The following is a 24,471-nucleotide window of genomic DNA, read 5'->3' as shown; positions in this document are numbered from 1 at the left end:
TCCCTGGCTGTGTGACCGCTCTGTGCCTCAGTTTCCTCATCTGTAAAATGGGATTGCTAATAACAGCCACCACATGGGGTTGGTAGTGAAGATTCAGTAAAGTGCTTTGGACAGCGTCTGACACAGGCACGCTTAACGAGCAATGCTGTCTTGGTATGAGTTTGAGCAGCACGTTGCTCCTCTGTGGTCTATTCCCTCAACTCCGCAGTGGACAGCTGGCTGCACAATCTGAGGGCCCCTGCAACCAAATGTCTGAGGGCTTCTGAGGGCCACAAGACCTGTTCCTTCCCCAAGACCCTTACCCCGGCCCTGGCTGAGGACAGGTGGATGATGCCAGTGCCCTGCCTCCAGGCACGATTGTACCTCGGCCATCTCCTAACCTGCAGGAAAGGCAAAGCCACACCTTCTTCAGCCCCACATGAAGCCAGCGATCTTACCTCGGCTCCCTGAGTCACCCCCACCCCAGAAGGCTGGCGCTGGCTTCCATCCACAGTGGCGCTGACTAGCACAGTGAATGCAAATCCCGGGAAACTGGGCCCAGCTGCTCATTAATGGTAATTAGCTCAGGGACTGTCAGCTGCGAAGGAGCTGCAGGGCCCAGGCTGCTACCCCCGGGGCTTTGTTCTGGTGCCACCCGCTCCCCACCCTCCACAGACCCAGCCTTCCTCCTCCTCAAGCTGCAGAGGACTGTGTGTGCTCAAAACTGACACTTCCCTCCCAAAACGGATGCTCCCCTCCCTCCCAATTTTCCCATCTCTGCCTTCATCCCTTTGCCTGAGCCCCCACTCCCCTTTTGTCCCCATCTCTCTCTCTGAGTCTACAGCCCCCATCTGAGTCTCATTCTCTCTGCACCACAGCCCCTCTCTGAGCCCACTTGCTGCTGGGTCCCTATCTATCTCACTCTCTGCGCTTATGTCTCCTCCCTTGAGCTCCCTCTTCCCTGACCAACCCCTCCTGCTCCATCTCCCTGAGCCCACTTCCACCCTGCTCCAGCCTGATTCATCTTCAAAGCCTATGTCTCCCCCCAGCCCCTATTCCCCTTGCAGATCACGCCATACTCGGGTGTGCACTTGAGATGCTGTGCCTCCTAAGGCCTTTCAGAGTTGTCACAGGCAACCTAGGCTGACCCCTCCATTCTGGAGGCCACATCGGCCTGGTCTGCGCAGGTGAAGGGAAAACTTTCCGCAGGCAGAGCCGAGGGGCCGCCTTGGCTTGGGGGCTTCCATAATCAGACAGGAACAATGCAGTGGGAGCCTTAAGAGGCCAATGAAGGACATGGAGACCTTTACTGGCCATGCCTCACTGGCTGCTGGACGCTGTATGAAGTTTATTTCCTTCTTATTGCCCCGAGGAGACGGAGGCTCAAGAGATGTCATCTGCCTGAGTCTCACAAGAGGGCCTGAGCTGAGATCAAACCAAGCAAGGCTCACTCCCCATCCCGACTTCTCTCTGCTACACCCCCAGGCCTCCCAGGCCCTGCCCCAGCCCCTCTGGCCTGCCCACGCCTGGCAAGAGGAGGCGGGAGGAACAGAAGCCCCAAGAAGGGCAGGAATTGGTGGGGGAGAAAGAGGGGAGGCAGGTGTCTGTGGGATGCACTATCCTGGCCTTCCTCAATCCTCAATCCCCCCACCCCAGCAGGCCCCTGACCCCCTCCACCCCATTCTCATCTGGCCTCCATGTGCTGGCGCCTGCACCTGAATACACACTCCCCACCAATCTGTCTTGGGCTGTCAGAGGATCAATGGGGCTCCCAAGGCCTGGCCCAGCAGGGAGCTGGAGGGGAGTCCCTAACGAGAGTTAAGAAGGGACCCAGGGGAGGAGGGGGGAAGGAGGGAGAAGCCAGGCTGAGAACGGGGGCATGAGCCTGGGTCTGGCATTTTGTTGAAAAGGCCCTTGGAAGGACTGGTTCCCCAATAGTAAGACCTGTCAACTCTCTTATTCAGGGGTTCCAGGCTGGTTTCCAAGTCTGTTTTGCCTCTGACATTGGGACCTGTCCCTTCCCCACTCTGAGTCTCAGCTTCCTTATTTGTGAACCTGAAAGAGATTGACTACCCTGGGATTGCACCTCAGATGGACATAAGTTTCTAAAATCAGCAAGAGATCTCTCTTTGTGTTCAAATATGAAATGGTCTCCAAAATATTAAATGAAATAAAACAAGATGCAGATCATGTGTCTATTTAGCTACCTTCTGCATGCACATAACTCGAGAAGAAGATGGATGAGTGGATTCGCTTGTCTATGCATAGAACATTTCTGGAAGGACACAAGAAACAGTGAGACTAGGGATGGCTTGGGGAGAGGATCGGGGTGGCTGGGGACGGAGTGGGTGGGAGATTTGCCTTACACTCTTTTATACTGTTGGAATATTGGTCCATGTTTATGTATTCCTTTATCAAATAATAATTGCATCTATTGCAAAATAGATCATCCTGCTAGGAAATATATGGGCAGGAAATATAAAGAGAAACAGAATATTTACATAGTATCAGTGTATCTTCCTATAAGGTATTCGTTAATTACAAAGAGAAAAATGGTAACTTTACAGTAGGGAAAACTGGCAGACACCACCTTCACCAAATGATCACAGTGAACATTGCTAATAGTGGGGCAAGTCGGCAGGCATCATGGGCCCCCTGATGGGACGCACTGTGAAGGACAAAGCGTCACTGATGCGGTGTTCTTGCCACAAGTGCCTGATCTGAATCCAAGCATAAAGAAATAACACAAAAATCCAAACAGAGGGACAATCTGCAAAACAACTGGTCTAAACTTTTCAAATAATGTTGATCATAAAAGTCAAAGAAACTGTTCCAGGCTGGGCACAGTGGCTTACACCTGTAATCCCAGCACTTTGAGAGGCCGAGGCAGATGGATCACCTGAGATCAGGAGTTCGAGACCAGCCTGGCCAACATGGTGAAACCCTGTCTCTACTAAAAATACAAAAAATTAGCCAGGCATAGTGGCGAGCGCCTGTAATCCTAGCTACTCAGGAGGCTGAGGCAGGAGAATCGCTTGAACCCAGAGGCGGAGGTTGCAGTGAGCCAAGATGGTGCCATTGCACTCCAGCCTGGGCAATAAGAGTGAAACTCCATCTTCAAAAACCAAAACAAAACAAAACAAAAAACTGGCCTAAACTCTTCAAATAATGTCAGCCATAAAAGCCAAAGAAACTGTTCCACGCTGGGTACAGTGGCTCACGCCTGTAATCCCAGCACTTCGGGAGGCCGAGGCAGGTGGATCACTTGAGGCCAGGAATTCGAGACCAACCTGGTCAACGTGGTAAAACTAAAAAAATACAAAAATTAGCTGAACGTGGTGGCAGGCGCCTGTAATTCCTGCTACTCGGGAGACTGAGGCAGGAGAATCACTTCAACCTGGGAGACAGAGGTTGCAGTGAGCCGAGGTGGCACCACTGCACTCCAGCCTGGGCAACAGAGCAAGACTCTGTCTCAAAAAAAAGAAACTGCTCCAGATAAGACTAAAAAGAAGACTAAAGAGACATAAACATTAAATACAACATGTGTCCTGGACTGGTTACTGAGTGGGTGGGGTGGGGGGGTAGAAATCTTTTTGTTTATTTGCTACAAAGGACATTAGTAGAACTGAAAAAATTTCAATAGGTCTATAAGATAGACAATAGCATTGTATCAGTGTCCTGATTTTTCTATCTGTCCTGCGATTTTGTAAGAGAATATTCTTGTTTTTAGAAATATACATGGGATAATTAACTTAGAGGTAAAGAGTCAACATGTCTGCAACTTATTTCCAACAATTCAGGCACTGGACAAAAATATATGCTGAGAGAGAATGAAAAAGCAAAGAATGCAAAATGTTAACATTTAAGGAATCTGGGTGATGGTATGTAGGAATTCTTTGTATTATTATTGCAAACTTTCTGTAAGTCTGAAATTATTTCAAATAAAAATTCAGGTATAAATAGAGTCATTGGCATAGCTGACATGCCAATGCCGTGATGTTCATGTGTTGTGTTAAGTGCTTGGCACATATGATCAAATTTCATCCTTGTAACTAGCCCATGAGGAAGGTGTAGCTATTTCTCTTCTTTATGCAGATGAGAATCTTGGGGCACAAGGTGGTTAAACAACTTGCTCAAGGTCACACAGCTGGAACAGATGATGCCCAGGGACTCTTCTTCAGCATCATCGGATAGCTCTGGGAACAAAGGGGCCTAGGAATCAGAATTCCATGATATGAATCCAGGGCTGTGAATTGTTTTCTCAGCACTGGGATTGTGCTGTTATTGGAATGCAGCCTTGATGTCATTATTCACCCTTCCGTCAAATATTCACTCATTGATCTGTCCAACCACATGTACTGAGCACCCACTGTCAGCCAGACACTGGAGCTGTAAAGGTGAGTGACTGGGCACGAGCTTATAGAGCACCCACCATTTACCAGGCTCTGGGCTCAGCATGGCGGTTAAAGAGATGAGCCAGACCCATCCCTGTCCTCCAGGAGCTCACTGGCTAGCAGGTGAGCCAACCAGAATAGAGACATGTAAAGGGCTGTGGGAACCCCAAGAAGTGAAAGGCTGGAAAAGGTTCCATTGAGGAGAGGGCCTTTAGGCCAGGTTTTGATGGATGTGTAGGAGTTCCTAAAATGGGGAAAGGAGCACTCTTTTTTTTTTTTTTTTTTTTTTTTTGTGACGGAGTCTCTAGCTCTGTTGCCCAGGCTGGAGTGTAGCGACATGATCTCAGCTCATTGCAACCTCTGCCTCCCAGGTTCAAGCGATCCTCCCACCTCAGCCGCCCAAGTAGTTGGGATTACAAGCACCTGCCACCACGCCTGGCTAACTTTTGTGTTTTTAGTAGAGACGGGGTTTCACCATGTTGGCCAGGCTGGTCTCGAACTCCTGACCTCAGGTGATTGTCCCACCTCGGCCTCCCAAAGTGCTGGGATTATAGGCATGAGCCACTGCACCTGGCAAAAAGGGCACCCTTAATGGAAGAAACAGCACAAGCAAAGGCTCAAAGTAGGAACAAGTAGGTTTCTGGGATCAGGTGTGGCCTGGAGTGACTGGAGCACCGTGAGAAACGTAGGGAAATGAGATTAGAGAAGCAGCAAGCCCAGCTAGGGAAGGACCTTAGGTGCCAGACAGTTGTTATAATTAAGCCCCGGAGAGTCCAGTTAAATATTTCCTTCTTCTTCTTTCCTCTCCTCCTTCTCCTTCTTTTTTCTATCAAGTACAGAGAGCTGAGTTAATCCCATTTCTCAAGCATAGCTCATTATCATCACACGCTTCACTTTTATTTTTTCCTCAAGCCCTACTCCTTTTCCCCTTACTCCCAACCATTGTGGGCATCCACTTGTGTGGAACTGACACGTGATGGTGAAGGCAGCGTGTGGTGATGTGAAGCACAAGGATTCTGGAGCTGGACTGCCTGGATTCAAAGCTGGGTCCACATCTTACCAGCTGTGTGACTCTGTGCAAGTTACTTGACCTTTCTGTGCTTCTGTTACTTAATCTCCATAAAATACTGATAAAACTGATACTATCTACGTCACAGGACAGTTATGAAGATTAAATGAGTTGTCACTTGAAAAACACTTAGAATAATATAGGTATCTATGTGATCAATAAATCTCAGCCAGGCACAGTGGCTCACACTTTAATCCCAGTGCTCTGAGAGGCCAAGACAGGAGGATTGCTTTAGGCCAGGAGTTCGAGACCAGCCTGGGCAACATAGTGAGACCCTGTGTCTATATAAACATTTAAAACTTAGCTGGGCATGGTGGTGCACGCCTGTAGTCGCAGCTACTAGGAAGGCTGATGGGGAACATCACTTGAGCCCGGGAGTTCCAGGCTGCAGTGAGCTGTGATCACGCCACTGCACTCCAGCCTCCTGGGTGACAGAGCAAGACCCATCAGGGCCGGGAAACAGGGGGATAGGGAAGTGACGGAGCCCCCGTGACTAGGGACACCCGAATGCTGCGGCTGGCAAAGCCCTTCAGAAGAGTGGCTGTCAAACTTATCCAAACATTTCTCTTCACCCTTGTCCTTCACCGTCCTCCTCCTCTGCCTCCCACCCCACTTCTTTAAAGCTGTGGTACCAGTGGGGCAGGGCTGCACCAGGGTTGGCGAATGGGCTCTGATAGTCTCTTGTGCTACAAATCCCAGCTCCCTCCTTTGCTAGTCCTCTGACAAGTGACTTCACCTCTCTTTGCCTCAGTTTACCCCTCTTTATAAAGAGCATAGTAACAGTGCTACTTCTGAGGGTTAATGAGTGGCCAAAATGAGGAAATGCATCTGCCAGCTGACAGCATGCCTATCACGTAGTGAGCGCTCAATAAATGGTGGCTATTCTTTTTAAACATAATCTGCCATAGAGACCAATCTAAGACACAAGGGAAACAAGGCCAGCTCTGCTGAAAGTTGGGGTCTTCCGATATTTTGTGGCGGCCACTGAGGCACCTCTCAAAGGCTAAACCTAAAATCACCCCGAAATTATCTAAAGTTTTCACTGTGCAGATGGGAAAACTGAAGCCCAAAGAGAGGAAGCTAATTCTCAGCCATTCCTGATCCAACAATTTTTCTTGCGAACCTACTGTGTGCCAGGCCCTGTGCAAAGCATCAGGGATGGAGGGGACTGGGGAAAAAAACCCACTACTCTGCCTGCCTTCATGGGGCTTACCCTCTAGCTCCAGACAGGAAAAGATAACTGAATGTTGACCACACGGAGTAGATGCCAGAAGGAAAAACAGAGGGAGCACCATCAAAAGCCAGCTTGGGAGGCACATGTGGGGACAGAGAACCCATTAGCTGGAGCGGGGGGTTGGTGGGGTTACATTGTTAGAGCTGAGACCTCCAAGAACAAGAAGGTGCCATGTGAAAGAGGGAAGAGGGCAAGTGGATGTTACCAGCGCTGTTGTTTGTAATAGCAAAAAATAAAAACCATCCAAATGTTCATCAACATGGACTTCAGATACTATATCGTGGTATTAACATATTCATATAAGGGAAGAATGCCCAGCAGTGCCAACGAATGGCAGCTGCCTGCCTCAATGCAGATGGGTCGCCAATGCACACTGTGCAAGGAAAAGAGCATGCGAGGTAGGATGCACAGAATCCATACAATATATATGCACTTCTATACATTTTTAAGAATGACGCTTGAACTCGAGAAGCGGAGGTTGCAGTGAGCCGAGATCGCGCCATTGCACCCCAGCCTGAGCAACAAGAGCAAAACTCCATCTCAAAAAGAAAAAATTCTTTAAAAAAGAAGGAAATATAGTCCTATGTATTGGGTAAGGATTTATTATATGTAGTAAAAGGTAAAACATTCATGGAAATAATAAACATCAGGATTGTGGCTTCTAAGAGGGTGGATGGGGATGGTGGGGAGGGATACCAGGGACCCTCTGTATTAGCAATCGATCCTGCATTAGAAATCATCCCAAAACATAATGTTTTCAAAGTACTAACAGTCATTTTTTATATCTCACAGTTTCTGAAGGCAGGAATATGGGCATGGTTTAGCTGGGTGGTTCTGGTCCTCAGGAAGCTAAATTCAGCTGTCAGCTGGGCCTGCAGTCATCTGAAGGCCTATCGGGTTGGGGAGTTGGAGGGTAAGCTGGAGAATTTGCTGCCAAGCCAAAGGGGGTTCATCTGGGTGGCTAGCAAATTTGTGATGGTTGTTGATCAGGGACTGGGAAGAGGGGAGAGGGCCTCAGTTCCTCTCCATGTGGGCCCGCCCATGCATCTTGGGTTCTATCACAACATGGTGGCTGGATTCCAAAAGTGAGCATGGAGAGATAGACGGACAGATGGACAATTAAGCAGAAGTTGTATCCCTTTTGTGACCCATCCTCATTCACCACATCCTCTTCATTAGACATGAGTTGCTGAGCTCAGCCCATACTCAAAGGTAAGGAGAATGTAACTCTACTTTTTGAAGAGAGGAGTGTCCAAGAATTTGTGGACATATTTAAAACCATTCACTCTCAATTCTTTTTGAAAAGTTTTAGGCCAGGCGCAGTGGCTCATGCCTGTAATCCCAGCATTTTGGGAGGCCGGGGCAGGCAGATCACGAGGTCAGGAGTTTGAGACCAGCCTGACCAACTTGGTGAAATCCCATCTCTACTAAAAATACAAAAATTAGCCAGGTGTGGTGGCGTATCCCTGTAATCCCAGCTACTCAGGAGGCTGAGGCAGAAGAATCACTTGAATCTGGGAGGCGGAGGTTGCAGTGAGCTGAGATCACGCTGCTGCACCCCAGCCTGGGCAACAGAGCGAGACTTCATCTCAAAAAAGAAAAGAAAAGTATTATTCCTTAAACTGAGCAGTGAGTACATGGGATTTTATTCTGTTATTCTCTGTACTAGTTTGAGTATTAAGTAACAGAGGGAGACGGGCAGTGGGGAGGAGTGTTTCAGGCAGAATGAAGGAGAGTGGTGATGGTGAGTGGCAATGAAGTGAGGACAGTGGCTGATGAGGGCACAGCAGTGGGCAGTGCCCAACCAACTTGTTGGCTGAGGTTGCATCATGGACACAGTCAGGACCCTGGGCATCTTGGAAGCAGCAGAGGCTCTCTGCCCACTCTGAGCCCCCACACCTGGCGTGATCCTGGCCTGGAGGAGGTGGTCCCAGTGTTAGTGGCAATTCCTTCTCTGAACACAGCTCCTGGGTGCCTGCTCTTCTGAAGTGCCATCCACCCCTCTCCCCTGACATCTGGCTCTTTTCCCCAGGAGCATCCTTCCACAGATATACCATTTGTCTATAAACATATCCACAACCACACACACTGGTATCTCCCCCCAAATGGAAGCCTATTATGCATCCTTTTCAATACCCTTCTTATAGCCTTTTCGACATACTTTGGGACTCTTACATGTTAGTACATAGCAAGCTCTGCCACTCTTTTTTATGGCTTTACAGTACTCCCTCATGTGGATGTGCTACAATTTATTTAACCAACCCCCTATTCACACACATTAATTTTGTTGGCCTTTGTTATTACTTTTTAGATTTTAAATGTAGAGCGTTGAGTTTAATAAGACCTCAATTCATGGCAGATTATCATAACTTACCCCTGTGCACCCTCCTTTGTTTGGTTTTGTTTCTCTCTCTCTAGTTATTCCTTTTTATCCCATTTCCCCTTCATATTTTCTGCACCTCCATAGATTCTGATGGGTTCTTTGTGCATTCTGTGGTGTATAAGTCTTCACGTAGAACATAACAGACTTGTATGTGTGGCTTCACCTGTGACTTCTGATTGCTGCCTAGAGCTCTTTGCACCTACCATGTATTCCTTTCTACCACCCCAGTAATGGATACCTGAGTGGCCTCTAACTCTCTGTTGCCACAACAATATGGCCATATCCTCTATGGGCTGATAAGAGAATTTTGTCTGGACATATAGCCAGGAGTATAATTGCTGGGTCATCGGATATATCTATTCTGGTTATCTTTTGCACTACAATAAACTACCCTCAACTTAGAGGCTTAAAGCAACCACTTTGTTCATTACTTTGTGAGTCAGGAATTTAGGAAGGACTCAGCTGGGTGGCTCCTTTCTGAACCTTGTGGTATCAACTGAAACAGCTACGGCTGGAGGTTCCCTTTCAAGATGGCATCTTCACTCATGTCTACAGCCTTGATGTTCCTGGCCTCTCTCTCCATCACATGGTGTCTCATCCTAGAGGACTTCTTTCCATTGTTCGCGGGACTTCCTCACAGAATGGCAGTCTTGGGGTGGCTGGAGTTCTTCATGGCAGCTGGCTTCCCCTCAAGTAATTGTTCCAAGAAAGAGGAAGTAGAAGCTGCCAATCTTTTAAAGCCTAGGCCTGGAAACTGACACATCATCACTTCCACCATAGTTGTTTGTCAAAGCAGTCAGAGGCCAGCCCAGATTCAGAGAGCAGATACATAGACCTACATCTAGATGGGAGGAATGTCAAATAATTGGTGGCCATAATTTATGCACCCAATGTACAGATTTAACTGGACAGATTGCTCTCCAGATGGCAGCTCCAGTCCACACACCCCCAGCGCTATCTCCACATCTTCACCCATACTTGGCTCTGTCCAGCCTCTTCAGATCCCCCTTCACACTGCAGTAAACATTATTGTAGAAATGCTCTTATTTCTTTCCCCAGTGCACGCTATACTAAGTTGTATATTCATTCATTGTGTGTCTCCTCTCCAGAAAATAAGCACCAGGCAGAGGGACTTGGTTGGATTTATTTGCTGCAAATCCTTAGCACCTGAACAGCACCTGGCATTTGGTAGGAGCTCTTACATTTATCTTAAATATTTGTGGAACTCAATCACCCTCCACAGAGATTGTAGCAATTTGCATCCCACCAGCAATGTCTAAGTCTCAGTAACTTGAATTGACCCAAACACATGGTTCATATGCTTTAAGTTCATGCTTCCCCCTGCTCAAGAACCTTCAAGGACTTCCTATTACCTTGCTTGGTGCATCTCAAACTGGAACCCACGACCTTTTAATACTAGGAGCAAGAGTTTCTCCATTTCTTATGGAAAGAAGCCCATGGATGTTTCAATGTTAAGTTTTTATCTTATCCATTTTTTATAAATGATTAGCATGGACTCTCATTTAACTAAAAAATCACTAAGAGATAGAGATACCTCACAAACAATGAGTTCACTGTTCGGGGGCTTCTAATGGTATAATGAAACTCGTCACAACTTAGGGCCAATAAACAACACGACTGATAGCTTGAACCAAGTTCTTTCTCCTAGCTGAGCCTCAGTTTACCCATTGGTAGAATGAAAATAGCATTATCTCATATGGTGTGTTGGGTACTTTTTAACTCATTCAGTCCTCAATGCAACTAGAAGAGATGGGTACTATTATTATTCTCTTTTTCAGTTGAGGGAACTGAGGCATAGGACAATTAAATAACATGTCTAAGTTTCCACATCTGGGGAGTGATGGGGCCTGGGTTTGAACTCCTGCACACAAATAGTCCTCCTCCCACCCCACCCCCAAGGCTGGCTTCAAGGCTAGATATTTATTCTTTGTTTGTTTGTTTGTTTTAAATTTTTTTAGAGACAAGGTCTTGCCCTGTTGCCCAGGCTGAAGTGGAATGGTACAACCACAGCTCACTGCAGCCTTGAATTTCTGGGCTCAAGCAATCCTCCCACTTTAGCCTCCCAAGTAGCTGGGACTACAGGTGCACACTACCACACCCAGCTAATTTTTAAAAAATTATTTAGTAGAGATGGTTTCACCATCTTGCCCAGGCTGGTCTCGAACTCCTGGATTCAAGCTATCCTCCTACCTTGGCCTCCCAAATTGCTGGGATTATAGACATGAGCCACTGTGCCTGGCTAGATGTCGACTCTTGTGGCATATTTTAGGGAAGTGGTGTGCTCACAAGTATAGCCTTTCTGGGGGTAGGGGGAGGAGGTGGCCTGTGAGTGGGAGATAGTCTCTGACCAGATTGAAATATACACAAAAGGCACAGGGTTGAAATCGTGCTGTGCCAAGTCCATGGTCCCCTCTGGGGTATGAACTGAGACTCTCGGTCTCCCAAATGGCTTATCAATAACATCTGATTCTTTATCATTATGGTAATAGTTACCATTAATAACAGCTAATATCTATTGCACGTTCATTGGGTACTAAGACTTTTCTCTCCATTTTTGAATCCCTCAATAGCCCTAGGAAGTTAGTGATTCACATTAACCCCATTTTACAGGTGAAGACACAGAGCTCAGCGGCAGAGTTGGGATTTGCTCCCTGTGCCTCCACCCACTAATGCGTCCTTGAAGCATCTCTGTTTACAGAGGAATTTCATGCATTATCTCACTCGATTTCACAGCCACAGCTTGAAGTCAACGCTCCTATCCTTCCTATTTTGCTAACAAGGAAATCAAGGTGCAGTGCACAGCTCTTTGCAACAAATCTGTCTGCTCTGCCTTCCCCATCAAATCCAGGATGTCACACAGCTGGAAGGTACCTGATTTATAGCTCAGGAAGGAGCACGTCAGGGCCTCTGGGGCACTGGGCAGGGTTCTCAGGCAGTTGCCCAGAGATCCTGTTTACTGGCAGGGCCGGAGACACACAAGACCAGGAAGGAGGGAGGCCCCGGAGACGACCCATGTTTGCATCTTCAAAGGCTTGCCCTGCACTCTCCCATCCTCAGGATTCCCCAGCTGGGCAGTGAGTTGTCACTTCCAAGAAATGTCCTCCAGCCCTGGCCACACTGGCTCAACCCAGTCACTCCAATCCTGCCCTTTCCTCACCCACTCTGCTTCCCCACATACATAGTCCTAGGGAAGGCAACGAACCCCTTCTGGGCTCCTACAGCTCATTCATTCATTCATTCAGCAAACCACTGTGAGTGTTGGGTACTCTTACAGGCACTGGGGAGACATTAAAGAATAACCAAGATTCCTGCCCTGTGGTATTGACATTCTAGGGTGGACGGGGTGGGCGGGGAAACACAATAAGTAAAGTGCATAGTGTGTTAGGTAGTTCTAAGGGCCATGGCGAGAGGAAAATAGAGCAAGTCAAGGGGTTTGGGAGTAGGAAGAGAGGGCCTCACTGAGAAGATGACATCTGAGCAGGGACATGAACAAGATGAGGGACTGAACCAAGCAACACCTGGAGAAAGAATGTTCCAGGCAATGGAGCACTGTCCTTGGCAAGCGCAAAGGCCCTGAGACAGGGCGTATGTGGTGTTCAAGGAGTAGCAAGGAGGTGGTGTGGCTGGAGAAGGGAGAGGGTGGGAGACAGGACAGAGAGGCCATGGGCTGGAGAGGGGTCCCATCATGTAGGGCCCGTGGGCCATGGTAAGAATCTGGCATTTCCTCTGAGTGAGCTGGGAGCCAACAGACGGTTTTGAGCAAAGGAGGGACATGGTCTGTTTGAAGCATTTATGGGGCATCTCTGACTGCTGTGTCAGCAGCACACCGCTGAGGGAAGGGAGGAGGCAGAGAGCTTTGTGGCTGCTGCACCTTCTGGCTGGCCAGAGAGGAAGGTGACATGCCCAGGGTGGTCGCACTGTTCCCGTTACCACCTCTGTGTAACAAACTACCCCAAAACTCCGTGGCTTTAAGCAGCCACCATTTTATTATGCTTAGGAATTCGGGCCAGGAGTGGTGGGGATGGCTTGTTTTTGCTCCGTGGTGTCTTGGTCCTCAGCCGGGAGGACTCAAAGGCTGGATATGAAACAACTAAGAACTGGAATCATCTGGAGTCCCCAGACCAGGATGACTTGAAGACTAGGAGGGCCTACATGTGACCCCACAGCATGGTAGTCCCAGAGTATTTGAACATCTTCTACGGCAGCTCAGGGCTCCAAAAACAGAGTGCCAGTGAACAGTCTCAGTAGTCGCAGAGTCACTTCTGACATATTCTATTGGTTAAAGCTGTTACGAGCCCACCCAGACTCAAGAGGAGGAGACATAAACCCCATTTTTTTTTTGAGACAGGGTCTCCCTCTATCACCCAGGCTGGAGTGCGGTGGTGCAATCACAGCTCACAGCAGCCTTGACCTCCCCAGGTTCAGGTGATCCTCCTGCCACAGCCTCCCAAGGGGCTGAGCCCACAGGCACATGCTGCCACATCTGGCTAATTTTTGTATTTTTTGTAGAGACGGGATTTTGCTGTGTTGCCCAGGCTGGCCTCAGCTTCCTGGGCTCAAGCAATCCTCCTGCCTCAGCCTCCCAAAGTGCTGGGATTACAGGCATGAGCTACCAATGGACCCCACTTCTTAAGGCAGCCATGTTCTAAAACCACCACAAGCACTTAGAATCTTCAAGGAAAATTGAAAGCTTTTTATGTTGGCTGATGCAGGAGGCACAGGAAGGAATGAGAAGTGGCTCTGCTCATCCAGGGCTCACAGCCCAGTGACCAAAAGAGACAGCTACTTCCCAGAGGCATGAGCAGACAGAGAGGAGCCCCAACCGAGCTTAGTTAGTCAGGACAGGCTTCTTGGGGGAGGTGATGCATGAGCCGAATCTTTAAAAATGAGGTCATCAAGCCAAGAGACAAAGGAGAGGTCATCCCAGGGCAAAGAGAAGTAGAAACTCGTGTTGGGAGGCAGGAGAGCGAATGCTTGAGAGATGAATTCTGGCACCAATTGTCTAGGTTTGCATCCTGTCCCAGCCCTTCAAGGGCAAAATTGCTCAGGTCACCTTGCCTCAGTGAGCCTTGGTTTATTTACCTTTAAAATAGGGGTTATAATAATTGCACTGCCTTCAGGGGAGGACATGCATGCAAGGTGCAAACTAGACAGAAAGAGCCTCAGACTGTCAGCTCTGATTAGAAAATTACACATGGTGGTCATCTAGCTCCAGCCCCCTGGTTGCAATGATGAGGAAACGGGCAGAGACTTGCCCAATGTCACACAGCGTAGAAGGTGGAACCTGCATCACACTTCACTGACCTGCCACAGCCTGACCCTCCCTGTCTCCTCTCATTCCTCACCCCACAAGTTCACTTTGAAAAGGTGGGAGGGGGTATCACTTGTTCCTTGGACTTTCCCCCACCCTGTCGATCCTGGTCCCTCCCCTTACCCAGGAATCCTATGAGGCCTCCAGAGGGGATCACCCAACCTGGAGGTGGGGCCTTGAAGATGGGGTGGTCTCTGCTCTGATAAGGATCCACACTATGCCCCCTCCCAGCCTGCGTTCTCCATGTCCCTGTTCAGCAGGAATTCCTCAGTCCAGCATGGAGTTCCGGTGGATTTTATGGGCCAGCCACAAGCAGACAAATGGAGAAGAAAAACATCCCTCCAGAGCCCTGCTCAGCTCTCAAAATCTGATTTCCGCTCAGCCGGAAGGAGGCTGGCTTGCTTTAACCCTCTGTAGGAGGGGACCACGGGGTCTGATTCAAGATCCTCTTTGCTCCATGTCCTATCTTCCCACCGCACAGGCTCTGTTCCTTCCCCAGCAGCTCCTGTGCTGGCCCCCACTTTGCCCCAGGGCTCAGCTTCCCCCGGGTCCCCTTGGTAGAATCATCTCAAGGACCCCAGATCCCAGTTTATGGTCATCATCAAAGCAGCCACTACTGTGAGCCTACTGTGTGCCAGGCACCGTGCCACATGCCTCAGCAACTTGGGCTCAGGGCGAGTCTGGAGAGGATGGTAGGAAAGCACACAGCAGGGGCTGAGAACAGAAATGGCTTCAGATCCAGCTCTGCCTCTCCTAGAAGGTAAGACCTTGAGCACAGCCCCTTAACCTTGCTGGGTCTAAGCTTCCTCATCTGTAAAATGAACTTGGTAATAGGATCCATCTGCTAGGGATCATTGTGAGTATTAAATGATCAGGTGTGCAAAGTGTGCAGCACATAGCACCATACAATGCAGCTGTTGTTACTATCCCTTCTCTCCACAAACCCCGCAGGATGGCCCTCATCAGCCACAGTTTGCAAAGGAGAAAAGTGAGGCCTTTTGGAACACCCCTGGACTTGCTCCATGCCTCGCTTTCTCCAATTGTGAATCACGACGGCAAGCCCTGAACTTATTAAATAATGCAGTCAATTCTTATTAGTCACTGATTGTGGAGTCGTGGATTCATCTACTCACTAAATTTGTAACCTCAAAATCAACACTCGCTGGAGCTCTCATGGTCATTGATGGATACTTGAGGAGTCATGAAAAATTTGAGTTGCCAGTTGGGCGCAGTGGCTCACGCCTGTAATCCTAGCACTTTGGGAGGCCGAGGTGGGCAGATAACAAGGTCAAGCGATTGAGACCATCCTGGCCAACATGGTGAAACCCTGTCTCTACTAAAAATACAAAAATCAGCCAGGTGTGGTGGCGTGTGCCTGTAGTCCCAGCTACTTGGGAGGCTGAGGCAGGAGAACTGCTTGAACCCGGGAGGCGGAGGTTGCAGTGAGCAGAGATCCCACCACTGCACTCCAGCCTGGCAACAGAGTGAGACCCTGTCTCGAAAAAAAAAATTTTTTTTGAGTCACTTGATGCATGTTTCCAGGTGAGATCATACAAAGTGACACGCTGCCTTCTTCTTTCAGCTCTCACACTGTAAACAACTGTCCTTTTCAGTCTATTCAGTGCCACATTTTACAAATTTTTGTGTCTTCCGCTGGTGATTGTACTGTTGACAATGGCCCCGGGCATGGTGCTGAGGTGCTGTCTAATGTTCCTAAGCACCAGAAGGCTTTGATGTGCCTTACAGAGAAGATCATGTGAGTTAGATAAGCTTCATTCAGGCGTGAGTTACAGTGCTGTTGGCCATGAGTGCAATGTGAGTGAATCAACAATATGTATTAAACATGGTGTCTTTCAACAGAAACATGCATAAAACAAGCTTAAGTATTGATGAGTTGATGAACATGTTGGGAACAGAATGGTTCACAGGAACCTAAGCCTGTATTTCTCCTAGGAGCAGTGGTTCAGTATTTGCTAATTCAGTGTTTGCAGTGACTTTCTAGAATATAATTATAGCAAATCATGAAATTCAACTGTACTTTCAGGTTTTTTGGTGCTTTTAGTTGTGAAGATAATATTTGGGAGGCATTTTAGTGAGCTACAGTCACAATTAGTGTTGCTGTGTGACAAATTACCCCACAATTTGGTGTCTTAAGCATTTCCTTATGCTCACGGATTCTGTAGTTCAGGATTCAGAATGGGTAGAGCAGTGAAGACTTGTCACTGTCCATGATGTCTGAGGCTTCAATGGCAAAGACTCGATAACTGGGGCTGGAATTGTATGAAAGCCTCTTCACTCATGTGTCTGTTCCTGGAGCTGGGAGAATTGAAAGACCAGAACGACCAGTCAAAAGCATGTGGCCTCTCCATGTGGCCTGGGCTTCCTCATAGCATGGCAGCCTCAGGCCATTCCAACTTGTTCTTGGCAACTCTGAGCTCCAAACTCCTTGAGTTTTCAAAGCAGACTTAAATGGTAGTTTCATTTAGCATTATCTTGATCTTCCACACCATTTTGGTGATTCTGCCACACCTGGCACTGGTGTCAGGGTCAACCTGAGTCAGGTGGGTACCTGACCACACTAAATTATTTAGCACTGCCTTCAACTTAAAAGTCTTTAAACATGAGCTCATCCTTTCCTTAAAGCGATGGAGCTGAAGGAGGGCACCCATGGCAGCACCAACCTCCTCTCTATTCTTGAACAATTCCACTCTGGCCCAAACTTGCATCCTCTACTCAACAAAATCAGTGCTCTTCAACCAAGTAGGCTCACTCTCCCTGGAGCAGAGTTTTGTGAGCATCTGAGCTTAAACTACCCCGGGGGAGGGTCTTCCCTTGTTATCCTCACCACAAGCAACTTATCAAAGAATTCCTGTCCACTCCCTAGCTATGTGACCTTAAGCAAATTACTTAACCTTTCTGCTCTTTAGTCTACTCACCTATAGAACGGGAATATTAATAGTACTTAGCTCATGAGACTGCTGTGAGGATTAAATAAGTTCCTAGCAGAGTGCCTGGCATATTGTTACCCCTCAATAATATTATTATTTCAATTTACATTGCATTTTCCCTGAAAGAAGTACCACGAAATACACTTTTCTCCACCTATTATATTTTCAATGATATTTTTATGTCCCTTAGAAAGTGGGGCTCGGACATATGCCTGTATGTTCCCTCTCTTACCCTGTCTCTTCCTGGTAACCAGCACCCACCTGCTCACTTCCACTTCACTCCTATCAAACATGCTGTCTAGAAAGAATGGATACCCACTCACACTGAGGTAGATGTCAGTGGCAACAGCCCGGAGAAATGTCTGCTAAACTGTATTCTCTATTAGGTGTCTGGTGTTGGGGGCAGGAAGTGAGTCTTTAATCAAGTAAGCCTAAAATAAGCTCAGAAAATGCAGATTGAGACCAGGCACGGTAGCTCATGTTTGTAATCTCAGCACTTTGGGAGGCCAAGGCAGAAGGATTGCTTGAGTCCAGGAATTAGAGACTAGCTTAGGCAACATAGTTGCCTACAAAAAAAAAAATTAAATCTCTACAAAAAAATTAAAAATTAACTGGGTTTGTCACATGCCTGTAGTCCTAGTTATTTGGGAGGCTGAGGTGGGAGGATTGCTTGAGCCTGGGAGGTCGAGGCTGCAGTGAACCATGATTGCATCACTATACTCCAGCCTGGGCAACAGAGTAAGACCTCGTCTCAAAAAAATAAGAAAACAAAATGCAGATTGAAATGAAGCCCAACAAGCTTTTTTGTTGCAGGATTTCTCCGACTCTTTAACATGCTAATGTTGTTGCAGGTCGCTAGGAGGGGGATATAAAATGCAGCTTCTCTGACTTTTTTTAAAAAAAATCATGGAATCCTGAGCATCCGCAAGAACAAGTGTTCCCAGGAATTCACCCTTAAAAATGATGGCTTGGAGGGACCCTGGAGGGACTGAGTTCTAGCATGGTATCAAGGGCATCAGCCCCATACTAGAGGAACCAGATGGGGTCAATGGAGCATTCTCATTAACTGAACATAAAACAAAACCAAACAAAACCTAGCATCTCTATGTAAGGACAGTTTACGTGTTTATTTAACTCACTCATTCGACAGATATTTCTGGATGCGTATTATGTGCGGTGTACTGATCTGGGTCTTGATCTTGCACTCTACGAATTTCTATGGGATGACGCAAGTGGAAAAAAATGCTTTTGGGCCAAATTCTGCTTCCATCACTTGCTGGTTGTGAGAACTTAAGAAAACCCCTTGTGGCCAGGCGCGGTGGCTCATGCCTGTAATCCCAGCACTTTACGAGGCCAAAGAGGGTGGATCACTTGAGGTCAGGAGTTCAAGACCAGCCTGACCAATGTGGTGAAACCCAGTCTCTACTAAAAATACAAAATCAGCCAGGCATGCTGGTGCATGCCTGTAATCCCAGCTACATGGGAAGCTGAGGCAGGAGAATCCTCCTGGGAGGCAGAGGTTGCAGTGAGCTGCGATCGCACCATTGCACTCCAGCCTGGGCAATAATTGTGAAACTCTGTCAAAAAAAAAAAAAAACCCTTGTAAGGATTATATAATGAAAACAGCTAACACACAGCACATACCATGTGCCAGGACTGTTATAAACGCTACATACATTGACTCATTTAATCCTCATAACAACCCTATGAGGCAGGCTTTACTGTGAGCCCTGTTTACAGATGAGGAAACTGAGGCCCAGAAAAGTTTGGTAAATTTCCCAAGATCACACATCTGGTAAGTGGCCTAACTGAGAACTGAAACCAGGCAGTCAGGCTCCCAAATGTGCAAACTTAACCATGTGACATTATTATCTCCAGAGTTAACACCTATGGTATATAACACCTATGGTTAGTTGTTTTCAATAGCCATTCTTCCCTTCTTCCTCACTAACAGAAACCCAGTGTTCAGCTGCACACACGGACACCTACCTGCAAAAGACTATATACTCAGCCTCCTTTTCAGTTAAGTATGGTCAAATGACAAGATCTTGCCAACGGGATGTGAACGGAGTGAGGTTGGTGTTCTACAGATTAAAGCATGCTCTTCCTTCTGCCTCTTTCTCCTTTTTGCCAGTTGGAATGCAGATAGAATGGCTCCTGTGGCCATGTGGCTCTGTAAGAGAACTAGGAAGTGAAAGCTATGTATGGTGCAGTAAAAAGATAGACAGAGCCTGGGTCCCCGGCACCATCTGTTTTAGTTATCTAATGTTGCATAACAAAACACCCTAAACTTACGGGATTACAACATTGATAATTTTTGTGTTTTTAGAGACAAGGTCTTGCTCTGTTGCCCAGGCTGGAGTGCAGTGGTGTGATCATGGCTCACTGCAGCCTCAAACTCCTGGGCTCAAGCGACCCTCCTGCCTCAGCCTCCAGAGTAGCTGGGAACACAGGCATGCACCAGAGCATCCAGCAAATTTCTTTTCCTTTTTTTTCTTTTAGAGACAGGGTCTCACTATGTTACCCAGGCTGGTCTCAAACTCCTGGCCTCAAACGATCCTTTGGCCTCAGCCTTGTGAAGTCCTGGGATTACAGGTGTGAGCCACTGCGCCCAGCCAATAATTATTTATTATCTTTTTTCTTTGTCTTTCTGTATTATCTTTCTTCTTTTTCACAGGTCCTGCAGGTCAGGAATTCAGGATCCACATCCAAGGAGGCTCACTCACTTGGCTGGCAAATTGGTGATGGCTGTAGGCTAGGGACCTTGGTCTCTCTCCACAGACGGCTTGAGTGTCCTCATGGCATGGTGGCTGCTGTCCCCAGAGTAAATGACTCAAGAGAACAAGGCAGGAGCTCAATGCCTTTATGAGCTACATTCAGAAGTCACATACCGTCACTTCTGTCATATTCTTTTGGTCACATGAGTCAAATCTGATTCAATGGGGGAGGGTTCTACACACGCAGATGAATACTAGGAGGCAAGGATCATTGCTGGCAATCTTGGAAGCTGGCGACCACACTGTGGAATGCCAGAGCAGCCCTACCTCCAAAGGCCTTGAATGAGAGAGAAATGCATTTTACTTGTCTCACTGAAGTTAAGGTTGTGAATATACACCTATGAATTCTTGACACAAAGTAAGCCCTCAATAAATGCTAACTGTCATTAGTCTTTTTCTCTAAGCAGGTTGAGGCATAAGACTTTGTCTTATATTCCCCTCTCTACACACAAACATACACACATATACCGCCACCTTCTAGACTGAGGTTTGGTACAAGGTAGGTGTGGGAGGCTGTGTATTAGCCTTTTCATTCATTTGTTCAACAAGTATTCATTATATATATATATACATATATATATACACATATATACATATATATACACATATATACACATATATATACATATATATACATATATATATGTATATATATATATATATATATAGAGAGAGAGAGAGAGAGAGAGAGATGGAGTCTTGCTCTGTCACCCAGGCTGGAGTGCAGTGGCGCGATCTCGGCTCACTGCAACCTCTGCCTCCCAGGTTCAAGCGATTCTCCTGACTCAGCCTCCTGAGTAGCTGGGATTACAGGTACACCACCACGCCTGGCTAATTTTTGTATTTTCACTAGAGACGGGGTTTCTCCATGTTGGCCAGGATGGTCTCAGACTCCTGACCTCAATGATCCACCCGCCTCGGCCACCCAAAGTGCAACAAGTATTCATTATTGCCCACACCGTGATGGAGGCAAGCACAAGGAGATGGAAAACAACCCATATCTCCATCATTGGGAAGTCAGATAATTCCAAGTGCTAGGGTGCATGTGGAGAAAGTGGTCCCTCATGCCCTGCTGCTGGGCATGTAGACTGAGGCAGCCGTCATAGAGTGCAGTAACTGTATGTATTCTCTCCACCCCAGGGATCCTGCCCCCGAGTGTACATCCCAGAGAAATACACACGGGAGTCCATGAGAGTCACACACTGCAAGTCCATCACAGCTTTGCTTGGGGAGGTGGGAACTGGAGGTAGCCAGCATCCATCACTAAAGCGGTGGGAAAAGGAGGCATGGTGGCACACGCACACCGTGCATGCTTAGCAGCAGTGGGAACCAAGGGACTTGAGCTGGACTCAGCACACAGAGCAGTGTCGAGGAAACAAAATAGCCTATGACACAGATCTATTGAAACCACTATTTATATACATTAAAAACCTCCACACACAAATCAACGCCATGCACATTTTATAAAGACACACATATATCCAAAGGCATGCGTCAAAGATATGGGAGTGGGTGCCCTGTTAGGGGAGGGAAATGGAAGTGAGAATCAGGGATGAAGGGAGAAAAGTCAAAATATGGTGTGATGAACACAACAAGACTTTGCAGCAAGGTTGGCAAAAAGTGGCAAAGAGGCCTTCACCATCTGCTACTCTGAACACTGGCAGAGGACTAGGGATGTCTGGTCAGACCCAAAGGGGCAGCATTCCAAGCAGGAAGGACAGCTGGAGCACAGGCTCAGAGTTGTGCACAGCAGGTGCCTCTGAGAAACAAATGCTTTTTGTAGAAGTGAAGGGTGCCCATGGTCAGGGAGGCAGGGACCAGCCTCTACCCTCTCAGCCTGTGACACCTGTCTCCTCTTACCTGGCAGACTCCTACTCAGCCCTCACAGGCCTCTAGGCTGCCTCAGAAGCCATGTGGTTAGGGAAGGAGCAATGGCTTTGGAGTCAGACCAATCTCAGCTCCCACATTGGCCCACCGTGTGACCTCGGGCAAGTCACTTTCCCCTCTTTGAACCTCCGTATCTTCATCTGTAAAATGGGAATAATGACAATACCTACCTCAGAAGGTTGTGTTGGGAAGGAAGTGAGATGAGCAAAATACACAAAGTACCTGCCCCATGGAGCTTATACTCTAGTGGAGGGAGACAGGTGGTAGACAAATAAATATGTAATGTCTCTACTGCTGTATCCGCAGTACCCAGAACTGTGCCTAGCACATAGCAGGTGCTCAGTTAATATTTGTAGAATGAATAAGTGAATGAATGAAAGTCAGTGACAAATGCTATAAAAAGAAATAAAGCAGGATAAGGGGAAAGGGAGAGCTGGGGGTGCTGGCAGGTTGGAGAAGCCATTACTGTTAGTGCTGGTGGTCAGGAAGGGCCTCCCTGAGATAAGATTTGAGTGAAGATTTGAAGGAAATGAGTGAACAAACTATGAGACTATCAGGGGCCAGGGGGGCCAGGAAGAAGTGGGCTCCAGATTTAGTGGGGAGGCCAGTGTGGCTGGAGCAGAGTGAGGGACAGAGAATGGGGGAAGCTGAGGTCCCCTGTGTAGGTGAGCTGAGAATGTGGTAGGAGTCCCCTCCGCACTCCCAGGGACAAGACCTAGAAAAGTCAATGCTGCTCAGCCCTTTCCCAGGCAGTTGGCTGGGGCCAGCCCCTAAAAACAGTAGCACAAACTCCTCTCAGGTACTGAGCACTCCTGTGTGCCAAGCCCAGCTCTACTGGCACAAACTCATGGAACCATCACCAGCCCTGGGAATGGGTACTATTATTATCTCATTTTCAGAGCAGGCAACTGAGACTCTGGGAAGCAGCTAACCTTGGAACCGGAACTGGGTCTCTCTGATACCAGACCCTGGCTTGCTCCTACCACATTGTCTTGAAATCCTTTGTTTACAGCTCGCCTTCCCCTCTCGGCTGCAGAAGGCCTGTCTCAGTCTCATTCATGGTTTTCTTCTACTCCCAGGGTCCCAAGTGTCAAAATATGCCTAAGGAGCAAATAAATGAATGAGCCTACAAGGCAAGCCCCTCTTCGCCTTCCGGGCCCAGTTCACGCCTTGGTTGGCATCTCCAGTTGGAGGTGGAATTGGGAGGGGGCTGGACAGAGGAATTTCAAGCTGCCTGAGGGTCAGAAGCAGAGAGGAGGGGGAGAAGGGGGAGAAAGCGAAAGTGAAGTGAGCTGGGAGCCCCTGTGAGGAGGCGCAGACAGGGAAGGAAATCTCCCGGTAATAATTCATCGGCTCAGGAAGCAGCAGCCTGGTCTGGGGCTGTGTGTGGGACCAGCCCTGCGGGGAGGGGGCCCATGCTGGCTGTTTCCCTCCTCCCCAAAGCCCAGCCTGGCTGGGGTCACGGTCAAATGCTGGCGGTGGGGGGATCCAGGTGTGGGAACAGACTCTCCCGCAGACCCTGGGTCCTAAGGGGCTCCTCCCCCGGCAGTCATGGGAAATCCCTCGCTCCCTCTTCTTCCCCTAATTCTGGCCTGGATCAGGGAAGCCAGGAAAGCACAGCATGGCAGAGCTGCAGGCATCGTCAGGAAAACAGACGCCCAGAGGAGCCAAAATGCACCTAGAAGCCTTTCAACTCCACTCCCTGCGCTCTGTCTGCTACACCGGCTGCCACTCGGGCTTATTTTCAAGGCCAAGTGGATGCTGGTTTAGCTAGTGCCTGGAGAGAGCTGAGCAGCAGGCACGAGTGAGATCGAGACCCCGGCAACCACCTTTGGCTCAGCAATTCTCTGAAGAGGACACGTCAGGCTGAACAATCTAAGGTTTCTAGAAGGCAAGCAGGCATTGAGGAAAGATAGCCCGTGTGTGTGTGATGGGATGGTGGTGGTAGGATTCCAAGAGGTAGTGAAACCGGACAGGCTGGAGCTAGCGCCGCCACTCCCACCTGTACGACTGAAGGCCGGAGCTCTCTGACCTGTAACTCAGGGCTGCCATCCTGCAGCCTCAGCTGGGCGCAATAGAGTATATAGCACCGAGTCTGGTACACAGTAGTTCCTTAACCAAAACGTCAGTTCCGTGAGGGTGAAGAATTTATTTTGTTAATGGCTGTATCCTCAGACCTAAAACCATGTCTGACACATAGTAGGGACCCAACGAATATTTGTTGAAAAAACGAACGAACTACTGGTGTTTGTGTATTGTGGTTTTGTTTTGCTTTTTTTTTTCTTCTTCTTTTTAAGTTTGTCTTCAGGGACAAGACACTGTCGAATCCTCATTTGGAAAGATTATAGCTTTTCTCCAAGTGTTCTCCACGGACACCACCACTATCACCAATGGCTTGTTACAAAATGTAGGTTCCTGGGCCCGTTCCAGAACTGCTCAATCAGAATGGGAGCAATTTGGGACTCTGT

At 48.0% G+C, this 24,471-nt stretch overlaps 6 annotated features.

The window, feature by feature from the left end:
* Nucleotides 514-1,091: an enhancer, noted in NCBI's record as "H3K4me1 hESC enhancer chr20:614811-615388 (GRCh37/hg19 assembly coordinates)". NCBI's record gives its function as "activates a minimal SCP1, AML or CMV promoter by ChIP-STARR-seq in naive H9 embryonic stem cells {active_cell/tissue: H9 hESC(naive)}" and the evidence as "EXISTENCE:reporter gene assay evidence [ECO:0000049][PMID:30033119]".
* Nucleotides 12,472-13,300: an enhancer, noted in NCBI's record as "H3K27ac-H3K4me1 hESC enhancer chr20:602602-603430 (GRCh37/hg19 assembly coordinates)". NCBI's record gives its function as "activates a minimal SCP1, AML or CMV promoter by ChIP-STARR-seq in primed H9 embryonic stem cells {active_cell/tissue: H9 hESC(primed)}" and the evidence as "EXISTENCE:reporter gene assay evidence [ECO:0000049][PMID:30033119]".
* Nucleotides 13,301-14,130: an enhancer, noted in NCBI's record as "H3K27ac-H3K4me1 hESC enhancer chr20:601772-602601 (GRCh37/hg19 assembly coordinates)". NCBI's record gives its function as "activates a minimal SCP1, AML or CMV promoter by ChIP-STARR-seq in primed H9 embryonic stem cells {active_cell/tissue: H9 hESC(primed)}" and the evidence as "EXISTENCE:reporter gene assay evidence [ECO:0000049][PMID:30033119]".
* Nucleotides 18,360-19,559: an enhancer, noted in NCBI's record as "BRD4-independent group 4 enhancer chr20:596343-597542 (GRCh37/hg19 assembly coordinates)". NCBI's record gives its function as "activates an origin of replication core promoter dependent on BRD2, P300/CBP, MED14 and CDK7 cofactors, and independent of BRD4, by STARR-seq in HCT116 cells {active_cell/tissue: HCT116}" and the evidence as "EXISTENCE:reporter gene assay evidence [ECO:0000049][PMID:35650434]".
* Nucleotides 23,041-23,541: an enhancer, noted in NCBI's record as "H3K4me1 hESC enhancer chr20:592361-592861 (GRCh37/hg19 assembly coordinates)". NCBI's record gives its function as "activates a minimal SCP1, AML or CMV promoter by ChIP-STARR-seq in naive and primed H9 embryonic stem cells {active_cell/tissue: H9 hESC(naive and primed)}" and the evidence as "EXISTENCE:reporter gene assay evidence [ECO:0000049][PMID:30033119]".
* Nucleotides 23,542-24,042: an enhancer, noted in NCBI's record as "H3K4me1 hESC enhancer chr20:591860-592360 (GRCh37/hg19 assembly coordinates)". NCBI's record gives its function as "activates a minimal SCP1, AML or CMV promoter by ChIP-STARR-seq in naive H9 embryonic stem cells {active_cell/tissue: H9 hESC(naive)}" and the evidence as "EXISTENCE:reporter gene assay evidence [ECO:0000049][PMID:30033119]".

This window comes from Homo sapiens, chromosome 20 (genome assembly GCF_000001405.40).
Source record: "Homo sapiens chromosome 20, GRCh38.p14 Primary Assembly".
NCBI classification, from domain to species: Eukaryota; Metazoa; Chordata; class Mammalia; order Primates; family Hominidae; genus Homo; species Homo sapiens.
This window is presented reverse-complemented; position numbering and strand designations above follow the sequence as displayed.